This window comes from Homo sapiens, chromosome 2, assembly GCF_000001405.40.
Source record: "Homo sapiens chromosome 2, GRCh38.p14 Primary Assembly".
Classification (NCBI taxonomy): domain Eukaryota; kingdom Metazoa; phylum Chordata; class Mammalia; order Primates; family Hominidae; genus Homo; species Homo sapiens.
In genome coordinates this window covers 63,836,052-63,854,069 of record NC_000002.12, presented here as the reverse complement: position 1 = coordinate 63,854,069, position 18,018 = coordinate 63,836,052, and the positions used below count along the sequence as shown (strand labels likewise).

Below are 18,018 nucleotides of genomic sequence, written 5' to 3'. Positions count from 1 at the left end.
GTTTTTTTCCTGGCCTGGCTCTCTTTAACCTTGACGCAAAAATCCCTAAATACCACACTCTCCTCCAAAAGCATTTATATCAGAACCTCTTCTTATGTTCAATCAACAGACAAGATAATTCCCCACCACATAAAACTGGACTTACTAGACACTTTAAGTCAATTTCAGATAGAACAGGCAATAACTTTTTTTCACAAGTTCCTCCTTTCCCCCAGTTTCCTAATTCTTCCTGTTCATAGGAACTAAAATTTCAACATCATGGGCTTTTTTATCCAGCTGGAGCCAAAAAAGAGAGAGGGCTACAGTCAATCTGACAAGTGAATATTTTTGTTTCTTAATTCATGGATCTCATTTCATGTATTTCAGCAAGTAAGAGGGATACATAATACCCTTCCCTGACACCCTGACACTGGCGCAAACAAAATAAGTACACAAGCTAGTTTCATAATGCACAGGCCATGGAAAAACCACAGGGAAGGCACCAAGAGCAACAGAGAAGTTGAAGAGCCATCCCTAGGCCACCTCTGTCTGATCAGTCCCAACCTTCCTGGAAAACCCACAATGAGAGATACTCAAAGTCAGAGAATTGGAGAGCGCACTTAATCTTAAATCGGGAAATGACTTGTGATCCAAATAACCATAGAACTCCAAGAATTTAATGGCAACTGGAAATAATCAAGATAAAGCTATCTTGATTATTTCAAGACATAATCAAGAAATAATCAAGATAAAGCTATCTTGATTATTTCAAGGAAATATGAACTATGCCGGCTAGATTTACAACCAATTCAAGCTAACCAGCTTCTTCTGGGCTCACTACAGTCCTTTAAACCCAGTTATTTGTGAATATTCCTCCTAGAAAAGCTCTTTATGGGGTTCCATTACTCAAGTGTATCCTATATCTTTTCTTACCTCTCTGACCACACCTCAGTTTCCCTAACTGGCTCCTCCTTTCCTCTCCTGAGATTCCTAAAATTCTGTCCCCAGACCATTTTTTCTCCTCAATTCTCATGCCACTCTCCTTACTGATCACTCAAACATGTGCCTCTCATCCTAAACTTTTTTCCTGAGCTCCAGGATCACATTCTTTACTTCCTTAAAGACTTCTGACACCTGGATACCCAGCTGGGTACCTCAAACTCAACATGTCCAAAATATGACTGATCATCCAAACTAAATTACTCTTTTGCCCACCCTGTTCTCCACGGCATTAACATTTCCGTAGAAACTAAGGTTTATACCTCACAGTCACAGTTGGCTCTTCCCACCTTTCCCCTCACATTGGACAATGCAATATCAAAACTTCTTAAATGATTGCTGTAATTCCATTCACTGTTTTCCATTTCCATTACTGCTACCTTAGTTCCCCTAGCATTTTTACTCTCCTAGTCATGACAACAGCTTTCTAACTAGTCTGCCCATCACTCTAATCTAATAGTGCCAAGGAGGATGGATTGATCTCCTTAAGCTGCAACCCCCATCATATCACTTCTCTTCCTTGTTTGATGAAATTCTCATTGCCTATGGAAATAAATACAAATTCCTTATCCAGGCATGTCTCAAAAGCCAAGCTGAAGTATCTTTTGGAGTAGCCAAAGCTAATGAAAGTATGAAAGCAGACTGCCTAAAGGCTGCAATTTCCTATTCCATTTGGGACATCTAGAATAGTTCTTCTAAAACTTTAATGTACATACAAATCACTTGGAGGCTGGTTAAAACACAGATTCCTGGGTAAGCTCCCAGAGAGATTCTGATTCAGTAGGTTTGGGGTGGGAAAGATATGCATATCTAATAACCAAACATTGCCAGTATGGCTTTGAGTAGCTCTGGTAGATTATACTCCATTTATCTTAACATATTTGTAACAGCCATATTCTTCATCCTTCTTGCTACTCCAATGCTATTCTGTCACCAACTCCCTGCCCCAATGCCCTGTGTTTCAGAGATGGCACCAGGCCCAGATTGGTCCAAAGCCTTCCTAGTGATTGGTTTAAGCATAAAATGTAATATGATTCTGGCCAGTAAGCCATAAGGGTATAATCTGTCACAGCACTTTGGAGAAAGGTGTTCCTCACTGAAAAAAGACATACATGAGAAAAGATAGTATTTTTTCTACTCACATAATGAGTATGTGTCCACCAATCACCCCACGTTTCTTCTGCCATGATTAGTGCCCTTGAAAGAAGCTGACCCAAGAATGAGGCAGATATGTCAAAGATAGCACAGCAGAAGGAAGGTCTGATAAGCTTTTGTACTGAATTAACCAACCCTGCATATCCTACTTCAGGATTTATGGGATAAAAAGACCCTCATTTTTGAAAGCCAAATGAATTGGTATTTTTCTACTCCATGAAGTTAAAAGCATCCTAACTATAAGATTGTTCGAAACCATGCACTTCAAATACCACTCAACACTTTCAGAAAAGGGGAGGCAGAAATGAGAAAAAAAGTAGAAAAATAAGAATGGCCCAGTATGAGTTCCAGAATAATGAGAATCATCCCAATCTCTGGGAAACCGCCCTGATCTCTCAATCCCCAAAGACTCAAACTGTTTTACTTGATTTGCTTCTGTCATTTTGATGGTGGTATTCCTAGTGTTCTAAGCAGTGGCTTCTGAACATTCCAAGAGGCCTTTCTTTCTACCACAACTGATTTGGGAGTTTTAATCACTCCTGTCTCTGTATTATATCAAACACCCCTCAAAACCCCAATTCTTTAGTTAAATGTCTGCAATCCTAGAACATATTCTCTTGAGGGGGAAAAAACTACATTATGTCATGCAACTTTGTTTTCCCAAAACCTACCTTAGCACCTTGCACAGTACAGGTGCCTAATAATGGTATGTAACTAAACTGTAGATCAGGACTTAAATTCTCATATAATAGTAGTTTGAATAGCTCCTATTCATTTGTCAGAGTTCAGTTTAAATATTACCTGAGATTATCCTCCTAGAAATCTTTCTAAACTAAGTTACCTATTACATGCTCATATGCTAGATCCTTGTACCTCTCCTTTATAACATCATAATTTTAAAAATTTATTCAATGTTTATCTTATCCAACAGACTGTAAATTCTGTGAAAGTATATGTCTGTAATGTTCACAGCTGTATTCCCACTGCCAAACACAGAGCCTGAGATATAGTAGATACTCATGTAACATTTATTAAATGAGTAAGAGCCTATTATGATCCAGCTATGCTCTGGGTATACAGAAGGCAAAGTCTAGTCTAGTGTAGGTAGTGCCTAGTAAGCCCAAAGTGAAACTGTACAAGAGCCATGATGTCTGGTCACAGAAAGGCAGAGTTAAGATAAGTATAGACTGTCATAAGTATCTGAAGCCCCAGTCCCTAAGGCTTCTCAAGCAGAGGCTGATTTATTAGTCAAGTATCAGGGATATGGTCAAAGAAGTTTCACACAGATAGGTAGTCTAGACAAATGACTACTAAATTTCTTTTCAATTTTATTAACCAATATAAATGCCAATGTAATGTTTTCACTAACTTTAGAGATTAAACAAAATTGGGCAATTTATATGTTTACATTTAGTTTAATTTAGGGAAAAATATAGAAAAAATATTCCATGTCATTCAATGATAAATTAAGAAAAGTAAATTCAATTAAGTTGCATCTTACATAATTTTATATGATCTTTTCATACTAAAGTTATTAGACTGTCAACTATGACTACACTGAGATATATTTTTAGATGACTCAGCTTTACATTCATATGAATGGTTAATAAATGCTTTTTGATAACAAAAATAAAAGGATATCAGGCTTTCAAGAACTGTTGCAGCAACAAATATGCAGAGCAGCTCGCTAAAAAAGATTTTTGCTAATCATGCATTGCTTTACTTAAAAAAAAACTGCTACAATTTATATATAAACCAGTCTTCTGATTAACAATTAAAATTAACCCTACTCTTATACAATAGAGTAGCTCTTAAAATCTCAAAGGAAAAAGAAAACACTACTTATGGAAAACAGAACATTCAGAAGAGATTTGTTAAATAATACCACTTTGTTTTATGTTTAATGGATGAGAAGAAAGTCATCACAAAAGGCCTCACACTCCTTTGTTGAGAAGAAGAGAAAGAGGTATAACATAAAATCACGATGAAAAGCCAAAAAATGATCCGGTAGTCCTGCCGTGTAACTTGCTATGTGTGCATTTAGAGAAACTTTTATGCTTAGAACGGCTTTAAGGTCAGTGAGTCCAATTCCTTATTTTGGAGATAAAGAAACAGGGGCCCAGAGATGCTGACTTGCCTAAGGACACAATGCCAAGCTGGAACTCAAACCCTGTTGCCTGGCGCCCTGTTTCTCATTCTTCTGGAGCAAGGTCTCTCCTTTCTCAGTTACAGTGTATTTACATGGTTTACCACCTCCAGGTGTTTGCCACTAAATCTGAATGAAAACCGGCAGCTCAACTATGTCTGCTATGTGAGGTTAAAACTACAATTAGAATAATACTTTCTTACTGCATCTCATGCTCTTCAACTCTTCCTTATACACTGTGTTGTCTAAGCAATGAAAAAAATCGAAGAATGCTTTTATGCATTCCATAAATATTTTATTACCAAGGCAAAGCATTTTACCATTAGCACAAATGAACCCAAAACAGTGGATATAACTATGTTGTTCTGTTTTCTTGTGCTCTTTGGAAGTTTTAAAATTCTAGGCAGGCATATAACACAAATGAAATATTACATCAGCTTCTGCCAGAGCAGCAAATAGAAGAAAATACAAACTCCAATCACATTTTCATTGTGGCCAAGGAGCAAGAAGAGCTACTGTCAAAGAAAGGATCCCCTAAAATAGTATTTTTACAATATGTTGACTAGCAAGTAAAAAGGAGACTAAGCATAATACAACTAATTTCTGGTCCATGAAGACAATTAATGGCTTTTTGTTTGTTTTTTAGGACACAAGCGAAATCACAAAGAAACAATTCTCTTGATTTACACAGAAAAAACTAACAGAAATATCTAAAAATGTTTACGGAAATGAAACATTTTATTGTTTATGTATATTAACGAGACAACATAGCCAATTTCTCCATGTTTCTCAAAAACAATCCTTAATTGTAAAATGGATTGGGGGCACAATCGATTTCATTTGTTAATGACTGAGAAAAATAAACAACGGAACTGTTGGCAGAGGCAGTATTTGAGTCTTAGACAATTACTGTGCAACAAATTAAAGGAGATGCCTGCATCACCAATCAAGAAAACTGGGAAACAGCTTTCAAACAGAGTATTATCTTTTTTCTCACACATAAGTCACCCAATCAAAAAACACACAAAGTTTAATTTTCTTTGATAGCTTCATAAAGCCAACTTTCAAAGAACTTGTTATTAATAGAAGGACACGTGCCTGGCAGTGGAATTTTAAATATCTAAGAATTGGCTGGGCGCAGTGGCTCACACCTGTAATCCCAGCACTTTGGGAGGCCAAGACAGGCGGATCACATGGTCAGGAGTTCAAGACCAGCCTGGCCAACATGGTGAAACCCTGTCTCTACTAAAAATACAAAAATTAGCTGGGCATGGTGGCGTGCACCTATAATTCCAGCTACTCAGGAGGCTGAGGTAGGAGAATCACTTGAACCTGGGAGGCGGAGGTTGTGGTGAGCCAAGATCGCACCACTGCATTCCAGCCTGGGCAACAGAGCAAGACTCCGTCTCAATGAATAAATAAATAAATATCTAAGAAGTATGGTTTCAGTTAATAGTCATTGTGCCTGGGACAATCCATTCAATTACCAAGACCAAGATGGCCACAATTTCAAACACTATTACTCCAAGTTCAAAATATGATATTTAGAAAAGAAATTGTAGGCTATGTCAAAACGGCAACAGTCTTTAGAAAAACTCTGTCTTCTAAAGAGATTCTATCCAACCAAAAAGGTAGTAACTGAATCATATTTTCTCATCCATTAAACCCCAAGCCAGAGAACTTGCCCTACTAATTTATTCATATTGCTGGAATTTTCTCCAACAGTATAAATGCTGGATATCAGGATGAATGGCATTACAGAAAGTTAACACACTCTTCTTCATTTTCACAGATAATCCAGGTTGACTTTCAAATATCTGTTTATGTTAACTTTTCAGTAATTAATATTGCTAACTTTCTGAGAACTCATAATGCCTATGTCAGGCCTCTGAGCCCAAGCCAAGCCATTGCATCCCCTGTGACTTGCACGTATACGCCCAGATGGCCTAAAGCAACTGAAGAATCACAAAAGAAGTGAATATGCCCTGCCCCACCTTAACTGATGACATTCCACCACAAAAGAAGTGTAAATGGCCGGTCCTTGCCTTAACTGATGACATTACCTTGTGAAAGTCCTTTTCCTGGCTCATCCTGGCTCAAAACCACCCCAACTGAGCACCTTGTGACCCCCACTCCTGCCCGCCAGAGAACAAACCCCCTTTGACTGTAATTTTCCTTTACCTACCCAAATCCTATAAAATGGCCCCACCCTTATCTCCCTTCACTGACTCTCTTTTCGGACTCAGCCCACCTGCACCCAGGTGAAATAGCCATGTTGCTCACACAAAGCCTATTTGGTGGTCTCTTCACACGGACGAGCATGAAAGCCTATACTTCTGCAAAAAGCTTGGTGGGAACTAGGAAACTACAGTATATTTCTTTTATTTGAAACACTTTCATTATTAGGCCAACTGATGTTCCTCACACAATCTAAGTATCCCATTATTTTAATTAAACTTGCTATAATTCATCTATGAAGGGAAAAATAATACATACCAACAAAGGGAAGGGTCTCTGTGAAACATATTACAAGAAAATACCTATGGACTAAAATAACACCTGAATTTCCTTTTAAGGTCATTTTTCAATTTATTCAGAATATTAAAATGGCACTCCCAAAAAGAGTACCAGTTAATATTTCTAATTTCTCTAATGTCCCTTATCAATTTTTTTTCCTCAGTAGACTTTCACAAATGAAAATCATCCATCTTATTAGAAGAAAGGCTGAGTTAGCAAGAACACGGACAATTTAACCACAGAGATTACAAGGTCCATGTTGGAAAACAGCACTTTTCATCAGCTCAACTCTTCATTTTAAATTTCTTTAGAATTTTTTTTTACATTTATAACTGTGACTGAATTTAACTAAACCCTTCTCTTCAAATAATATAATAAATCTTAAATCAGATCTTTAAAAAATGAGGGGTATGCCCTAGTCATTATTTTCATGGCTCTTGTCCTCACTCAAATCCATGCCACTATCCCTGTGCTAAAAGTGTCCTCATCATCTAAATAATCAGCAACAGGCTAAATTTGGTTTTAGGATTTGAGAAGAACCAGGCCCCAGAATGCTTCTCATCTCTGTATTCCTCGGAGACCCCTCCAGTTATAATTAGCTCAGTAATCTTCCCTGGCTAGCTGCCATCTATCAAATAGGAGTCACCAAAAAAGTTATGAAAAGAATTTTAACAAATGGGAAAGCTGATAGGCCTCAAGCATTTTTTAAGTGACAGAGGTACTTAAATGACTTTCCCTGAAATGTAAGTATGTACCTCAATTTAAGAACATCAGGGACATTTTTACATAATTTAGATAGATAATGGCACATTTAGAATCATTTTTTTTAAAAAAACAATGCCTCTAATATTAGAGCATTAGCATCCATTATAGCCTTAGCTGGCTAGACAACATTACTCTCTTCACTATTTATTAAGTTTCAAAACATTTAGAGTGATTACCCCATAACTCTCAGAACTTTTTAAAAGCAAAATTCCAAATGGCACCCACTGACAAACCTGACAAAAACCCACAGCTGCTGATGACCCCCGCCCCTGGTACCTTAAACTATGACAGGGAGCCCCCTTTCTCACTCAGCTAGGGAAGAGATGGTACTCACATCCATTTAGAATAACTGGGGGCCCTGGAACAATCCCTGGAGCAAGGAAGAGCAGAAGGAATGTCACAAGTAGGCAGAAGGTGACCCAACAGCAGAATAGCTAGGAATTATGCTGCAGATCCAGTAAAGAAAGGTCTTCCTAAGAGAAGGAATGTTAAGTGCCTGAGGGACAGAGACTTGGGGATGTGACCAAAGAAACGTGAACCTTTTTTTTTGACCAAGAAATATATACTAAGAACTCTCCTGCCTACCTCAATATTTTTATTAATTGAACATTTCCACCTAATAGTTTACGGTCAATATGCTTGAGGATGGAGATACCCAGCTTTCCTCTAAGGCACAATGCCTAGGATTTGGAGAAGGAGATACAAGCCAAGTATAGCAACCATCCTACTACATTCAAAACAGGTGTACACAACACTTAGGTGTAATGCCCAGATCTGCTGAACTTCAGTGCCTACCATAAGGGATATGCCAGAAATCCTAATACAGTACATCATACATAGTAAGAGCTCAAAAAAAATTTTGTTCACTGTATTCAGAAGAAAACCGTCACCAACTTGTACTCAAGTTGAGAGGTTATAAAAACTACAACCAAATTCATATTGTCCAAACGTTACCTTGCCCCACCCCGGCACTTTTTTTTTTTTTTTTTAACATAATAACACCTAGGCCTGAACATGAAACCTGGAATAGGAAAATAAAGAACTTTCATACCTGCCTTTTTTCTTTTAGTTCTGTTGATGACATGTGGTTATATTTTGGGTGGCAATGCTATCTGAAAGGCCACCATCATTTCAGGAAAGAAAAGTAAAATTGACTGGCTACCTAATATGTGCCTAGCACATCCACATAGTTCATCTCATTTCAGCCTCTCAATAACCCTGAGGCATAAGCATTACTGCCCAATTTTTATCTAAGAAGAAACTGAGGTTTGAAAGGTATGTGCCTAAGATCACCTGCTAGTAACGGTATTCAAATCTAAGTCTGTACCTTTCCATCTTTCTCAACATTTATATAATCTAAGAGGTGTTATAAAAACTACAACCAAAAATGTAAGATAAGCTACTAAATAGTAGATGGAAAATGCTAAGCTGTGGGCTTCTCATTTGTCATCCATGACAAATTCATTTAGAGTATCGTCCACTTACAAAACACTGTATTTCTCCCAAGGATATAATATTATCTTTGCCCAATGGGAACTGACAGTCTAGCTGGAGAAACAGGCCATTTCCACAGTTGTTAATGTTAGAAGCAACAAAAGATGTCGGGAAGGACTAGGGTTTTAGACACACTCATGTAAGAATTTCAGTGCTGTGCACTAGCAGCTCACACCTGTAATCCCAGTACTCTGGGAGGCTGAGGCTAGAAGATCGCTTAAGACCAGGAGTTTGAGACCAGCCTGAGAAACATAGGGAAAGCCTGTCTCTTTAAAAAAGGAGAAAAGTAGCCAGGCATGGTGGTGTGCACCTGTAGTCCCAGCTACTCAGGGGGCTGAGGTGGGAAAATTGCTTAAGCCAAGGAGATCAAGGCTGCAGTGAGCTGTGATCGCACCACTGCACTCCAGCCTGGCAACAAAGTGAGACCCTGCCTCAAAATCAATCTATCAATCAATCAGTGCTTTATACAAGCTGTGAACTTTGGACAAGATACTTAACTTTCCTCACCTGTAAGGGCAGGATAAAAAATCTACATCTCAGGACTCTTATAAAGCTTGAGAAAACCCATGAAAAAAAAAAGTTAGAAACCTAACATTTGTTAACTCTTTCCCCTATGAAGGAGCATGAACTACTAAGTGCCAGTGATTGGAAATATCAATATTTTCTGCAGCAAAGATCAAAGAATTTGATTTGCTTAAAAAAATAATCAAAACCAAAATTTCCAACCCTTACACTTGAAAGCTCTTTTGTGGAGACAGCTGTGTCATTTGCCAATTAGGTTTATCATTTACAACAGCAGCAGAGTTAAACATATAGAGGGCTCACACTGTACAAAATTTAAACAATGATAAACAGGAGCACATTCATGTCAAAAAATTTTGAGGAGGTGTCATATTCTTGTGCAAAACTGCCCATCTTAAAAGGAAAACTACCATTTAAAGTAAAAATGTATGACAACTATAGGCTATGGCATATGCCTAAGTCCCATCTACTCAGGAGGCTAACGCAGGAGGACAGCTTGAGCCCAGGGGCTTGAGGCTGTAGTGCACTATGATTGTTCCTGTGAATACCCACTGTACTCCAGCGTGGACAACACAGTAAGACCTTGACAAAAAAAGAAGAAAGAAAAAGAAAAAAGAAAAAAAGTGGCTGGCAACTAAGTGCAATCTGGTATCTTAGAGTGAATCATGGGAACTGTAATCTGAACAAAGCCTTTAGTTAACAGTAATGTACCTATGTTAATTTCTTAGTTTTGACAAATGTGCAACTTTTCTATAAATCCTGAAGTATTCCAAAATATAAAAAGTTTTTTTAAAAAAAGTGGATGACAAAGTAATGACAAACATACACAGCAACTCTTACCACTTGATTTTGAATCTTCTGAGGACAAGTTGGCATTACAGCAAAGGCTGTGAAATCAGTCAATGCTTGCCAATTCTGCAACCTATTCTAAAGCATAACTCTACATGGAACACCTTGGGTTTATTAATATTTCTAACTTTTAAAGAGAAGTAACTTGTCCACTTTTACCTAGCATATTCTTGCAAAATACCGCCTTTATGGTAACTGAATATTGTTATTACAAAACCAGTACGTTTCTAACAGTTCTGCCTTTCTATTCTTGAATAAGACATTTACTCAATCAGAACATAAGCATCTCTTACCACATATAAGGTATAACATGAATTTGAAAGTCTAATAACAAGTGACATTTCTGAGCTTAGCGCTAAAGGCAAGCATAGCGTTCGATCTGTTTCGATAATAACACAGGCAGTCGAATTCTCTTACTTTAATCTACTACACAAAATTTAAAGAAGAGTTAATAAAGCGATGTAGAACTCAGTAGGGCATTTTTATTCCCAGGGTCAAATGATGGCCATTACTGACACAACTTTTTTTTTCCAAAAGTACACCTACATTTATCAGGAAGCATAATAAGTGTTTGTGAACTTTACTAGCTGTGTGTTCATCAAGATGGCTGAAGCTTTCACACACTGGAGTCTACAAGGAAAGAGTTTACTTGCATACCAGAAGGCAAATCTCATGCTACAAACTGGTGTCAAAGGTTTATGCCAGCACCAATTTCAGTGAGTACACCGTACACACATGCATTCATATACACGTTACTGATAATCTCAGTTGAGGCATTCCCTAACCCTTTTTAAATACACATGTGGAATTTAGAGAGCAGTTTTCAAACTTCAAAGGAACCTTAATCATCTTTTCATAGTTCAAAAAAGGAAAAAATAAACACAGCAATGCAGCAAAGTCATTTCTCCAGCTGAAATGACCTCCAGCTTCTTCGGGCTACTCCCAGTTTCGCAATAAGTGAATCTGAGACGCAAACCACGTACACACAAACGAAGTAGAAGCGGAGAACACTAAAGCTTCCCCAACAGTCCCGGCAAAACCCACCCGGCTTTTCTCAGTCCTCCCGCTTCCCCAGCCCTTCCCGTCTGCGTGCACGCACAGGTACCTTGACACAGACCAGGAAAAGAGAACAAGGATTAATTAGCAGCCAAAAATCCTGTTTTATCACTTACAGCCACTATCCAGGAAAGCGACGGTACTACTAACCTGATTTCAGGGAGGCAAAACTAAACCCAGCAGGGTACAGGAGCATAAATTATACGCGTCTGGAACGTCAACCCAGCAGCTCAAGGCAGCTCAGATGACAATTCAACGAAAAGGGTTTCGCAAATGTTATCTCAAATGAACATTTCCACTTCCAAACCACCCACCAACCTCTCCACTGTCAGTACCCAAATTTGCCTGAAGCAACTCGGGATATAAGCAGCAGCATTTCTTACCTTGTACAAATCTCGACATTTTAGGGGCTTAGTAAAATACTCCGGCTTTTTTTTTTTTTTTCTAGAGGAGTCACGCTACAGGGCAGGTCTCTCTTCCTCTCCTGCTTTAACAACCGATGTATTCTTTCTCCTCCTATATTTAACTACTTAAGGGAGTATTTATTCAAAGCGATTAAAACTGGCTCAAGAAAAAAGAAAAGAAAGAAAGAAACTCCTTCCCCAATTCCAAAAGACGGAAACTTGGTGCGACTGAGTCGGTTTGGGAACTCCTGAGCTCCGGACACAAATGAGGGCCAGCTGGAGACTCCCGGAAAAGGTAAAACCACACGAACTTAAATTTCTTCAATGAAAGAGGCGGACCTACAGCGGCTATTTCACCGCCCCCAAGTCCCCACGCCCTCCAGGGCTGTACTGCAGGAGGCACTGGCAGGCCGCGCCCCTAGCTGCCCCCTCCCCGCGCCGCCGTCCAGGCCCCAAACGCCTCCCCCGAAAACCCCGGTTAACAGCGGCTCCCGCCCAAGCAGGGGTCGGGGAGGCGGGCGAGGCCGGCCAGCGGGGGCAGTGCAACCATTTTCACCAGCCATAAACATCCTGGGACTAGGAGGCGCTACCAATTCCACGCTCTGGCTGGCCGACCGGTCGGGGCCTCAGCTCCCCGCCTTCCCGCCTCGAGCAGTGAAACCCGGCCGCAGCTTTTTCTCGGTAGGGGCCGAAGGCTACGCTGCCCCTCCCCCGCAGCGGACACTAAGGGGTCACCGGCTAGAGGCAGACCCGTGCACCGGCGCGGGAGTCCCAAGGGAGGGCACCGACCCTTCCCGTACATATTCTCGCCCCGCCTGCCCTGCGCTCCTCAGAAGCCCAAATTCCGCCTCCGAGACCACACAGCGGGCCAGCGAGAGCGGGAAACACACTCATCCAGGGGGTCGCCGGAAGCCCAACCCCGCCCCTCCTCAAGCCGCCAGCGAGACCCACCTTCCTCTTCCTTTAGCAGCTGGGAAATTGGGGGCGTTTATGGCGCCCCGGGAAGAAGGCTCGCAGGCTGAAAGTCACCTCTGAGGCGCCCTTCTCTCTCTCTCTCTTCCCTCACACATGCACACCTTGAGCCCCTCCCTAACGGTCGCAGCCCAGCTGCTAACCCCCCCTTGTCCACCCGTCAGCCGGCTCCCGACACCCACAGCCCCTACTTTCTCCTAAACACCTCCCCTCCCCCTCCATTCGGAGCAGCCCCTTCAATGCGGAAATGTCCCTGCCGCACGGACCGACAGGCGCAGCCGCCAGTCAGGAGCCGAGGCGGACGCAGGCTCTGGCCAATGAGACGTGTGGAGGTGGCAAGGGGCGGGGCGTTGCGGCACTTGAGAGCCCGTCGGAGTTGGGCACTGAGCAGTACGCGGGGATACCGCGCGTGGGAGCAGCACTTACGGCGGCGTTGCGGCCAGGGAAGCCTCGCCAGTATATCTCAGTGAGGGAGAGCACCTGAGCACGACTGGTTATTTTTCCAATCAGTAAAAATATTCCCGCTGACTAGGGACTAAAGAAAGCCCTGCGGATAGAGCCGGAGCTCCCCACCGCAGCTGCCCCGAGGGAGCCCAGACGCTTCTCAGGGGACGCTTGCTCCCCTCATCACATCTGGTTGGGGGAGGGTGAGGATGCGTTAGGGAGTAGGCATTGGCCTGTGTGGGCCAGCTAACAAAAGGAGGGTTTAGGCATTGAAGAAAGTGACAAGTGAAGGCTCCCTCACCGGAACCACCACCATCCCCATTGCCCCGGTTCCTAATCCTGTAGAGCTGCTGTGATAGGCGTTTACTTTTCTCTTCAACGTGGAACTGGCCTAAGTTACTCCTCAAGAGATGCTTTTCTTTTGGTAGATTCTTGAAGTCCTCAAGGAAAGAGGATGTTACACGGAACTTGACACTAGCCTGGGGACTGTTACAGGGCCAGCCCACGGCTTGTCAAATCACACCTGGTACCGTCAACCCCACCTGCATCTAAGACTCAGTGTGCCTGGCAGCGAGTGCATTTCAGACTTTGCATTTCCACTTTAAGACTCAAATAGCCCGCACCAGGGCAGATGATTTGCCAGCGCCTTCTCTTAAGTGCCTTCAATAAACAAGTACGGTAATTACAGAAGAGTTTGAGGCTTTGGGCAGCACTAATCAACCAAGGTAAAGTGAGAATTTTTTAATGACTCATTGTCTAAACAAAGGAACTTTGATTTTTTGGTTCTACGTCTTTATATGGAAATGTTATTAGAACAAACAACACAGAAAAGGCTAGTGAAAAATTGTTATACTAGAGAATGACAACCATTGGTACTGTGTTTCTTACATGAAATCCAAAAAGATTACACTCAAAAACCTCTCGGCCGTAAAACGAATTTTCCCCAGACAAAACAAGTGTCTAAAATCCAGATGTCTACAGTTTAATAACAGCATTTGGAGACTGAAGATCTTAACAAAATCTCTACATCCTTTGTATACAGTACAAAAATTGTTCCAGCACTGAAAAAGCAGTCTTTACCAATGAGCATTAGTACCAAAATAAAATACTACCGAAAGATTTGGGCCACGTAGGGTTACTTAGCCTGCAAAAGATGAAGGACAATGAAGAGATTTATTTGTTGTTGTTGTTTTGTTTTTGTTTTTGTTTTGAGACGGAGTCTTGCTCTGTCGCCCAGGCTGGAGTGCAATGGCACAGTCTAGGCTCACTGCAACCTCCGCCTCCCGGGTTCAAGCGATTCTCCTGCCTTAGCCTCTCGAGTAGCTGGGGCCGCAGGCTCGTGCCACCGCACCTGGCTAATGTTTGTATTTTTAGTAGAGGCGGGGTTTCGCCATGTTGGCCAGGCTGGTCTCAAACCCCTGACCTTGTGATCCGCCTGCCTCAGCCTCCCAAAGTGCTGGGATTACAGGCGTGAGCCACCGCGCCTGGCGAGTTTTTAATTATACAAGGTTTATTATAAGAAACGATGATCAGTTACTGTATTTTCTGCCTTCATGGAAGATTAAAAAGGAAATGGGTTTTAATTGCAGCAAGAGCATTTGTTAATATCTAAGAATGGCATCTTGATTTATGAGTGATTGAATATTGAGATATAGTACCAAAGGTTGTTGTACACTTGCTGCCTCAAGAACTCTCCAAAAAGTAACTAACTACCCATCTTCAGGGGCTACATCTGTAACTACTCAGTCACTAGTTCTTAGAGAAGTAGCACTCTAGAAGCTTAGTTTCCAAATATTTCCAAACAGTACTTATAAAATGAAATTTCTTTATACATCGGTATAAATTTAAATTTTGAACCCACAAACACTTTGTAAGCGAGCTTCCCACTCTCTCAGAGCCACTAAGAACAACCTCACTTGACAAATCCTGTGGAGATAGGAAAGAAAGAGGTGGAGTTCTTAATGGCCATGGAGCAAAGACATGCTTAGAAAGCAGTTACCTATTTCCCTTTATATATTTCAGTCATTGAAAAATTGCTTTCTCTGGGCAAGTATGTGTATCTTTAATCCTTTTTTTCATAAGATACTACTCTGGAATATCCCTTCAAGGTGCATGATGTTGATAATCTGTATCATTAGAAATCTGTAACATCGGTAGATTTATAGATTTTACCTTTGCAGAAACCTGGGGTGGGGGGATCCAAAGAATGAAGATGGGGGCTGATAAGAGTGTGTACAGGGTTAAGGAGCTGGAGTGAAATGGATTGTGAATTAGAAAGAAAGCCTGGAAGCCAGTTTTTGTCTGGTTCCATATGCGACCATCCACGGATGATACAAATTCTGCCTATAATTTCTTCCTTCTTTCTACTTTCCCATAGAAACTTGAGGAAACTCAGTTTGGTTTACCCAGTCCCATATCCTAGGATGTATAACAACCTCACCATATCTTTTTCCTTTGCTTTAGACAGGAGCTCTCTATCAACAGCAAGGAAACCATGTCTGTGGTCCTATTTCTAAGCATCTTTTTTGGTGCCTTTTTAGATTTAATGCTTGGCACAGTGTCTGGTACATAGCGAACATTCCATAAGTATATATTGAATGACCAGTTTAGTGCCACTAAATCATTTTAACTCACAGTGTTGTATCCTACTCTCCACTCTTTTTTTTTTTCTTTGAGATAGAGTTTCGCTCTGTCACCCAGGCTGGAGTGCAGTGGTGCGATCTCGGCTCAATGCAACCTCCACCTCCTGAGTAGCTGGATTCTCCTGCCTCAGCCTCCTGAGTAGCCAGGATTACAGGTCCCCACCTGGCTAGTTTTTGTATTTTTAGTAGAGACAGGGTTTCGGCGTGTTGGCCAGGCTTGTCTCAAACTCCTGACCTCAGGTAATCCTCCTGCCTCAGACTCCTCAAGTGCTGGAATTACAGGCGTAAGCCACAGGCCCGCCCCTACTCTCTGCTCTTTGAGAGCCATATAAAACATAAAAAGTTTATATTTAGAGATAACGTTTTTTAAGTTTCAGTTATTTCCACCTAGGAGATGAACCTGGGCCAAATTATAAGAATAATAGCAGCAAATGCCCTGATGACTTTACAATAAGCTGTGTTAACTACCCATGAGCATTATCTAATAAGGAGTGGTGTAGGAATTGTTAAAGGTATGAAATAAGTATACAGATCATCAATGTGTGTGGTCCTTTATTTTTTCTTGCCTATCCTCTACATTCAAGAAAATAAAGCAGTGTAGTTTGAGCGAACATGTACTAGACATAAAAATTTCTGTGTCATGCCCAAAGTGTTTAGCCAAGAGACCAGGCAACAGTTATCCACTGGACTGTTGCCCATACTCAATATTGGCTCCCATCTGTACCCATCTAAATCCTAGGCCACCCACATGAGAGAGGAAAAAGGGGCTACTGTTACTCAGTCAGCAGTTGCCAGTAACTGACTACATCTAACAATAGGGCATTTCACTTGAGTAAAAAGGTAACCAAACGGGCTTAACTGGAAAAAGATATCAAATTATATCTATGAGATGGACTACTAATGAATGAGTTGTCTAAAAATGAATGGGTTTCCAAATACTTGAGGAAGAGAAAGACTTCATTCTTTCCTGTTGCCAACACCCTGTTAATGAACCAGGAAGTTTGCTGAAACAAGTTGTGAATTTAAATTATGACATATCCTTCCATTTGTTCACAGTATGATTTTTAAGTTATATTTGAGAGTTATATAACTTTTACATCAGAGCAGTAGCAATTATTTCAAATAACTGAGATGCTTTAAAAAATGAAGTTAGTTCACATTATGGATAGTTAATTAAAGGTTCATAAACCAATCTTCTAAGTGGTTTTAAAAGTCATTAGGCTCCCAAGCATGTTTAATCAAAACATACATTATCTTGTTCATGTTTATCAATAATTCCCCTCTAGATTCTCCTTTGAAAGTTGAAGGAAGCAGGTCCTTACTATTTTGTTTTCTGTTTAGTCTGTTCTGCATGTTCCCCAGAGGAGAGTGTTGGTGAGAAATGGTGACACCCATGAGGTTGTTGTATTTCTCTCATGTGCAAAACTGTATCTCCAAATTGTGTCCGCCCCTTTGATGATAGAGGCAATAGAGCCATTCCCTTTAGTGAATGGCCCAGGAAAAAACATAAATAAACTCCCTATATTCTCTCAGGGTTTTTAACAAGCGTAGATTGTTATGTGATTATAATTTGAAAAGATAAAAAAACTAATAAGAAACCATCTTTTACCAAACTCATAGAATAAATATTATTTTGATTTACTGTAGTGATATATGTATAGAAGTTCAGGTTACTTATTGACTTTCAAATCCTCACAGAGAAGAGTTGTGAAAGAGAAAAGCATTCAGTTTAATTCTATTTTTTCTGCCTCTTTCAACTATATGAAAGATTCCCTGTTGTGCATTCCATCAAATGACTTTTGATGGTTTTCTAAACATCTCTGCCTCTGGTCTAGTTTATTAAATTTCCTGCTAGTGCCACCACTGGAAAGGAAAGGATAAAGAACTTCTGTTTCCTAACTTAGTCTCAGGGAATGTATTTTAAGCATTTCACACCCACCAACCTAACGAAATATTAAAGAGAAGATTCTCAGCTGGGTGCAATGGCTCACAGCTGTAATTCCAGCACTTTGGGAGGCCAAAGCTGGTGGATCATCTGAGGTCAGGAGTTTGAGAGCAGCCTGGCCAACGTGAT

At 40.7% G+C, this 18,018-nt stretch overlaps 2 protein-coding genes across 13 annotated transcripts in view, besides 6 other annotated features; one reads left to right on the top strand and one right to left on the bottom strand.

The window, feature by feature from the left end:
- Window positions 1-13,101, bottom strand: part of UGP2 (UDP-glucose pyrophosphorylase 2) — a 50,592-nt gene extending 37,491 nt beyond the window's left edge. For 4 of the 9 annotated variants that reach the window (NM_001377526.1, NM_001377528.1, NM_001001521.2 and 1 more), the window contains exon 1: window positions 12,838-13,101. Coding sequence is in view for 1 of the 9 variants with exons in the window: in NM_006759.4 (NP_006750.3) it covers window positions 11,866-11,884 (19 nt within the window). In the remaining 8 variants the exon portion in view is untranslated. Of the gene's footprint in view, window positions 1-11,470; window positions 11,532-11,632; window positions 12,175-12,837 lie in introns of those variants that run through there. The other 5 variants (NM_001377529.1, NM_001377525.1, NM_001377524.1 and 2 more) reach the window with 4 other exon arrangements.
- Window positions 3,644-4,423: an enhancer, noted in NCBI's record as "OCT4-NANOG-H3K27ac hESC enhancer chr2:64076781-64077560 (GRCh37/hg19 assembly coordinates)". NCBI's record gives its function as "activates a minimal SCP1, AML or CMV promoter by ChIP-STARR-seq in primed H9 embryonic stem cells {active_cell/tissue: H9 hESC(primed)}" and the evidence as "EXISTENCE:reporter gene assay evidence [ECO:0000049][PMID:30033119]".
- Window positions 4,424-5,203: an enhancer, noted in NCBI's record as "OCT4-NANOG-H3K27ac hESC enhancer chr2:64076001-64076780 (GRCh37/hg19 assembly coordinates)". NCBI's record gives its function as "activates a minimal SCP1, AML or CMV promoter by ChIP-STARR-seq in primed H9 embryonic stem cells {active_cell/tissue: H9 hESC(primed)}" and the evidence as "EXISTENCE:reporter gene assay evidence [ECO:0000049][PMID:30033119]".
- Window positions 5,984-6,764: an enhancer, noted in NCBI's record as "OCT4-NANOG-H3K27ac hESC enhancer chr2:64074440-64075220 (GRCh37/hg19 assembly coordinates)". NCBI's record gives its function as "activates a minimal SCP1, AML or CMV promoter by ChIP-STARR-seq in naive and primed H9 embryonic stem cells {active_cell/tissue: H9 hESC(naive and primed)}" and the evidence as "EXISTENCE:reporter gene assay evidence [ECO:0000049][PMID:30033119]".
- Window positions 12,068-12,117: an enhancer, noted in NCBI's record as "active region_15879". NCBI's record gives its function as "activates an Ori minimal core promoter by ATAC-STARR-seq in GM12878 lymphoblastoid cells {active_cell/tissue: GM12878}" and the evidence as "EXISTENCE:reporter gene assay evidence [ECO:0000049][PMID:35858748]".
- Window positions 12,218-12,527: a silencer, noted in NCBI's record as "silent region_11543". NCBI's record gives its function as "represses an Ori minimal core promoter by ATAC-STARR-seq in GM12878 lymphoblastoid cells {active_cell/tissue: GM12878}" and the evidence as "EXISTENCE:reporter gene assay evidence [ECO:0000049][PMID:35858748]".
- Window positions 12,988-13,167: an enhancer, noted in NCBI's record as "active region_15878". NCBI's record gives its function as "activates an Ori minimal core promoter by ATAC-STARR-seq in GM12878 lymphoblastoid cells {active_cell/tissue: GM12878}" and the evidence as "EXISTENCE:reporter gene assay evidence [ECO:0000049][PMID:35858748]".
- The window catches only part of WDPCP (WD repeat containing planar cell polarity effector), a 721,268-nt gene continuing 716,493 nt past the window's right edge, over window positions 13,244-18,018 (top strand). For all 4 annotated transcript variants that reach the window (XM_047444629.1, XM_047444631.1, XM_047444627.1 and 1 more), the window contains exon 1: window positions 13,244-14,027. The gene's annotated coding sequence lies outside the window, so the exon portion shown is untranslated. The remainder of the gene's footprint in view (window positions 14,028-18,018) is intronic.